The 6,876-nt window shown below is 41.4% G+C and overlaps 1 annotated feature.

Annotated features, from left to right (window-relative positions):
* Positions 4,820 to 4,939: an enhancer, noted in NCBI's record as "active region_5788". NCBI's record gives its function as "activates an Ori minimal core promoter by ATAC-STARR-seq in GM12878 lymphoblastoid cells {active_cell/tissue: GM12878}" and the evidence as "EXISTENCE:reporter gene assay evidence [ECO:0000049][PMID:35858748]".

Genomic DNA, 6,876 nt, shown 5'->3' on the forward strand with positions numbered 1-6,876 from the left:
TGCCGTCCTCATTTAAATTAAGAGTCACATAAATTGCCGGCTATAACTTCAGGGACTATTGTTAATGAGGGATTTTAACTGTGAAGTGGACTGTTGTCAGGATCAGGAAGCAGGTCAGACTTTATTTGACACAATATTGCATGTCCCTTGTGCCTCTATTTTTACCTAAAAAAATATAAAAACTGACTGGGAAGGCCCTTTAAAACCCCAGTTAATATCATAGAAATACTAAAAGCTTATAGTGTGTTAGAAGCTGACAAGCTATCATAATATCTAAATGGATCTGTTGACCTTTAAAATGGAGCTTGGCTCTCATGTCCATTTGTCACAATTTCCTACTTATTTCCTTCCCCACCTTTTCCCCATTGTCAACTCTTGTTATTCTCAGTGGTCATGGAAAAAAAAAATTACTTTGAGGGCCTTAATGTGATTGAAAACAACACAGACTGGCAGGTCATCCCTCCTCCTTACTGGACTATTTCTAACTGGGCTCATTACAGAGCCTCTAAACAGTGAGAGTGAAAAGCCTCGAACACAAAGCTCGTTAAGGAATTCATTTTGGTCTTCCCCTCACTCCTCACCACAATGCTCTAGTGATTATATTCAGTCCAATTATGTATGTTCTACATGTAATTAAAATGTACAAGATGATCAGATTGCATAAGCTTTGAAATGGTCTTCTTATAAAACAGAGTATCATTAATATTAGAGTGGAGAGAGAAACCGAATTTTGCAAAGAAGGAATGAATGCGAGATTGAGCTAGAGGAGATTGGATGAATGGGTTAGTCAAGCTGGGATGGAGAAGTAATGAATACGAAGCTCTATATCTTATATTTAGTATTTAAATAATTATAGTAATAATTTTTTAAAACCTTTATTTTTTCTTCTTTTGTTTTGAGACAGAGTCTAGCTCTGTTGCCCAGGCTGGACCACAGTGGCACAATCTCGACTCACTGCTACCTCTGCCTCCCGGGTTCAGGGTTCAAGCGACTCTCCTCCCTCCGTTACTGAGTAACTGACTACAGGCGCGCAACCACATCGGCTGATTTTTGTATTTTCAATAGAGAAGTGGTGTCACTGTGTTGGCCAGGCTGGTCTCGAATTCCTGGCCTCAAATGATCCACCCACCTCAGCCTCCCAAAGTTCTGGGATTACAGGCATGAGCCACCACACCTGGCCTTTAAAAAGTGAAACATCATGATTTTCTGGCCTTTGAAGAGATAATATAATTTTTAAGTGTGTGTCTTTGGCCAGACATGGTGGCTCACACCTGTAATCCCAGCACTTTGGGAGGCCGAGGTGGGTGGATCACCTGAGGTCAGGAGTTCGAGACGAACCTGACCAACATGGGGGAAACCTCGTCTCTACTAAAAATACAAAAATTAGCCAGGTGTGGTGGCACATGCCTGTAATCCCAGCTACTCGGGAGTCTGAGGCAGGAGAATCGATTGAACCCGGGAAGCGGAGGTTGTGGTGAGCCGAGATCAGGCCATTGCACTCCAGCCTGGGCAACAAGAGCGAAACTCCATCTCAATAAAAATAAATAAAAGTATATCTTTTACTGTTATGATGAACACATTTCATTAAAAAACCTAGTTTGTTCTGTGTGTGTGTGTGTGTGTGTGTGTGTGTGTGTGTGTAAGTGTGCATGAATGTGTGTGAGGGTGGGCTTGGATACACAAAATTAAATTTTATTTTTTGAGACAGCATCTCGCTCTGTCACCAGGCTGGAGTGCAGTGGCTCGATCTTGGCTCACCGCAAGCTCCGCCTCCCGGGTTCACACCATTCTCCTGCCTCAGCCTCCCGAGTAGCTGGGACTACAGGCGCCCGCCACCATGCCCGGCTAATTTTTTGTATTTTTTTAAGTGGAGACAGTGTTTCACCGTGTTAGCCAGGATGGTCTCGATCTCCTGACCTTGTGATCTGCCCACCTCGGCCTCCCAAAGTGCTGGGATTACAGGCGTGAGCCACCGCGCCCGGCTGCACAAAATTAAACATTTTAAGTCAATCACGTAGTTAATCAACACCTGCTGTGCCCAAGGCCTTCTTAGAGAGGACACAAGTAAGTGTGAGGCATAGACCTTATTCTCAGCCAGCTTACATCTGATTGTGGAAATATGTAGGAATGTCAACAATGATCCTCCCGGTTAGCTGACAAGTTTTTCAACAAGCTGCTACACAGATTTTCATTCATGTAACTCGATGATTAGAAGATGCTTCTTGAGAGGATCTGTGCACTTGAAAATCTCTTAGGAAATCTATTTTGGAATGTCATCTATCTTTAGGGGGTGGCCATGTATCACAGGTGTCTACAGAGGTAACACTGTTTTTTCCATTTCAAAAACTGAATCAGAATAGATGTGGCAATAAGGGCTAAGTCTTTACGGGGCTTCACATTGCTCTTCCAGCTGGTGTTCCGCCCTCGAGGCGTCCTTCTAATGACTACCTGTGGGCAAAGACAGCCCGACAGACTTTATTTTTCTAATCAAGACCTAGCCCTGGTGTCCTGATTCTTTTTGGAAGCCAATCCACACTCCAACCTGTCTTGGCTTGTTATAGGCAGAGACAAGTGATAAGATCCCCCAGTCCTATCCTGTCATAAGGTAATACCTCTGTCAAAGCTCCGTGGTGAGAGCTGTAGAGATGCATAGATAGAGAGCTGAAATCAGCCTGGCAGCTGACAGGGTCTAATTTGAGAAGCTACTCCCTACCTGTACTAAACTATGAGGCCACACTACCTTGTTTTTCTCTAGGAAGCCCCACATTCATATCTAGTTTCCTTGTACACATGCATACCCATAGCCTGGCCCCTTTATCATCATGACTATAATTATTGCTTAGCACCCTTATTGAAGAGTGAGAATTGCATAGCCTACAAGATGTGAAATTCAACATGCTTCTTCTCCAGTGGGAACCTCATCTAGATACGCATGCAAAAGACATTTCAAAGTATCTTAGGAAGGGTGGGGAAGGGAAAACACAGGAGGGTGAAATAAATAATCATTTCAGGATTTTCCAAGTAAGAAACTTCACAGGAAGTGGGTTCCAAAGGGAGTAGGTTGAGGTAACTTGCCACTCTGAAATAGAATGCCAACTTATTAATTCAGTTCAACGAAGGGCTCAGCTCTGGGAAGGTCAGCTTGCTAAGATCTCATTCACTACGGACTTCAGTGGCCCAGGTTCCTTTTCTTCATCTTCTTCCCCTATTGTTTCCTGGTATAATTTCATGAGCTTTGTGATTATTATTATTATTATTATTATTATTTAGAAGGAGTCTTGCTCTGTCGCCCAGACTGGAGTGCAGTGTCACAATCTCAGCTCACTGCAAACTCCGCCTCCCGGGTTCAAGCACTTCTCCCGCCTCAGCCTCCCAAGTAGCTGGGATTACAGGTGCATGCCACCACGCCCAGCAAATTTTTGTATTTTTAGTAGAGACAGGGTTTTGCCATGTTGGCCAGGCTGGTCTCGAACTCCTGAGCTCAGGTGATTCACTCACCTTGGCCTCCCAAAGTGCTGGGATTACAGGTGTGAGCCACTGCACCTGGCCGAGACTACTATTTAAAGAGTATTATTACTGTCTTAAGAGAATGTATACTTCTATCTACTGAGAAGTATTACCTGCTATAGAGTTTGGCACTCTTTTCCTAATTCCCAGCTATTCTAAGGGAGTCAATTTACCATATCTTCAATTGGTCCAAACACAGGCAGACGCTGGAAGATGATAATATTATTGCTGTTGTTGAATTTGCTAAATACTCTTTTTGGTTACAGAATTAACCTGACTGTAGAGGTTAATTAAGCAAAGTATGTTCAGTAAAATTATCTTAAGATTCAGAAAATTGGCTGGGCGCGGTGGCTAACGCCTGTAATCCCAGCACTTTGGAAGGCCGAGGTGGGCAGATCACCTGAGGTCGGGAGTTCGAGACCAGACTGGCCAGCATGGTGAAACCCCATTTCTACTAAAAATACAAAAATCGGCCAGGCGTGGTGGTAGGTGCCTGTAATCCCAGCTACTCGGGAAGCTGAGGCAGGAGAGTTGCTTGAACCTGGGTGGCGGAGGTTGCAGTGAGCTGAGATTGCGCCATTGCACTCTAGGCTGGGCGACAGGGCAAGACTCCGTCTCAAAAAAAAAAAGATTCAAAAAATTATCACTGAATGTCAAATTATGAATATATAAGTAGCATACAGAATGTGCCTTGATCATAAATGACTAAATAATGTAAGCAAACTCTTAGAGATCATAAGGAGTTGGGAAGCTTGTCCTTCTATTTACTGGTAAGGAGGTACTCAGGTGAACATTATGTTCAGAATCTTTTCAATATCTGTCTTGATAGCTATCCCTATCCCTCCCAACCATCGAAATGGATGAAAATGACCATTGCTTAAAGGTTTTTCAAACTGAATTAGTAATATCATTTTTTCATTTTTACCATAGAGTGTATGTAGACTTTTCAGGTAGGTTTCATATCTCTTGGGTATTGAGACAAATAGTTTGTAAGCAGAATAGGATGCTTTATAGAGTATTCAATAATTCAATATTATGTTTCAATAATTTTGGCACAACTAAATATCATTTTAAAAATCTGATTTCTTGAAGAATAACTTATATACAATAAAAAATTGCCCATTTAAAGTATAGTCAGGGCCAGGTGCGGTGGCTCACACCTGTAATCCCAGCACTTTGGGAGACCAAGTTGGGATAATCATTAACATAGCAAGATCCCCGTCTCTACGAAAAAAAAAAAATTAGCTTGGCATGGTGGTGTGCATCTGTAGTCCCAGCTACTCAGGAGGCTGAGGCCTGAGGATCCCTTGAGCCCAGGAATTTGAGGCTGTGATGAGCTATGATTGCACCACAGCACTCTAGCCTGGGCAACAGAGCAAGACCCTGTCCTTAAAAAAAAAAGTATAATCACCCACTTAATGAGTTTTGAATGAATACAGTCATGTAACCATCACCAAAATTAAGACAGAAAACATTCTCGTGACTCAAAAAGTTCTCTGCGCTCCTCTGCAGTTCATTTCCTCCCCCTCTAACCCCAGAACTGATCATTCTGCCGCCAGTTTTGGGTTTTCTACATGGCCACATAAATGAAATCAGTAGACTTCTGTGTCTGGCTTCTTTCATTTAGCATCATGCTTTGGGAGTTATCCATATGATTGCACATACCACTTCGTTTATTTTTATTGCTGAGTAGCATTCCATCATAAGGGCACAACACAATTTACTTGCCTGTTCACCAGTTGATAGATATTCGGTTTGTTTCTAGTTTTTGGCTATCATGAGTAAAATTGTTATGAAATTTTCCATGCAAGTCTTTGTGTGGACATGTTTCCATTTCTCTTGGGTTAAATATCTGGCAGTGGAATTGCTAGATCATGTGGTAAGTATATGTTCAACTTTAATTATTAGAGAGTCAAGCTATTTCCCAAACTGGCTGAACCACTGTACTCCCGGTAGCAACGTATGAGAAACTAGTTGCTCTACATCCTCACCAACCATTTTTAATTTTAGTCATTTTCGTGGGTATGTGGTGATATTTCATGGTAATTTTAATTTTCACTTCCTTAATGACTAATGATGTACATCTTTTCATGTGCCTATTTATCCTTTCATTTATATTGTTTGGTGAAGTATCTGTTCAAATCTTTTGCACACATTTTTACTGTACTATTATCTTAAGGTTGAATTGTAAGAGTTTCCTATATATTCTGTTTACAAATATTTTTTCAGATATTTGTTTTGCAATATTGACTCCCAGTCTGTGGCCCTTTCATTTTTGTAATATCATCTTTAAAGAACAAACATTTCTGGCTGGGCACGGTGGTTCACACCTGTAATCCCAGCACTTTGGGAGGCTGAGGCAGGAAGATTCCTTGAGCCCAGGAGTTTGAGACCAGCCTAGGTAACACAGGAAGACCTTGTCTCTACTCTGTAAAAAACAAACCAAACAAAAAAGAACACGAACTTCCAATTTTGATGAAGTCCAGTTTAACAATTTTTTCTTTTATGGTTTGTGCTTTTTGTGTCCTAAAAAGTCTTTTATTTTTATTTTCTGTAGAGACAGGGTTTTGCTATTTTGCCCAAGCTGGTCTTGAACTCCCGGTCTCAAGTAATCTTCCTAGGCTCCTAAAGTGTTGGGATCACAGATGTGAGCCGCTGCAGCCAGACCTAAAAATTCTTTGCTTAGGCCAGGTGTGGTGGCTCACACCTGTAATCCCAACACTTTGGGAGGCGGAGGTGGCAGATCACGAGGTCAAGAGATCAAGACCATCCTGGCCAACAGGGTGAAACCCTGTCTCTACTAAAAATACAAAAATTAGCTGGGCGTGGTGGCACGCATCTGTAGTCCCAGCTACTTGGGAGGCTGAGGCAGGAGAATCACTTGAACCTGGGACGTGGAGGTTGCAGCGAGCCAAGATTGTGCCACTGCACTCCAGCCTGGTGACAGAGTGAGACTCCGTCTCAAAAAAAAAAAGAAAAAAAAATTCTTTGCTTAACCCAGAATCACAAAGATTTTCACCTGTTTTCTTCTAGAAGTGTTATAGTTTTAACCCTTATTTAGAATTGAAATGTCTTCTTGAGGAATTGACCTCTTCGTAATTATGAGAGATCCCTTTCTATCTCTGTTAATAGTCCTTGTTTTGTATTAATATAGCCACTCTTGTTTTATTTTGATTGGTGTTTTCTTGGTATATATTTTTTCATCCTTTTAATCTGTGTCTTAATCTTTAAAGTTTTTTTTCATAGGCAGCATGTAGTATGGTGTTGTTTTTTATCCAATCTTTTAATGTCTTCCTTTGAATTGGAGAGTTTAAAAGAGATTAAACCATATAATTTTAACATAATTGTCAGTGTGGTTGAACTAAAATC

The sequence above is a fragment of the Homo sapiens genome, chromosome 12 (genome assembly GCF_000001405.40).
Source record: "Homo sapiens chromosome 12, GRCh38.p14 Primary Assembly".
In the NCBI taxonomy this organism is placed as follows: Eukaryota; Metazoa; Chordata; class Mammalia; order Primates; family Hominidae; genus Homo; species Homo sapiens.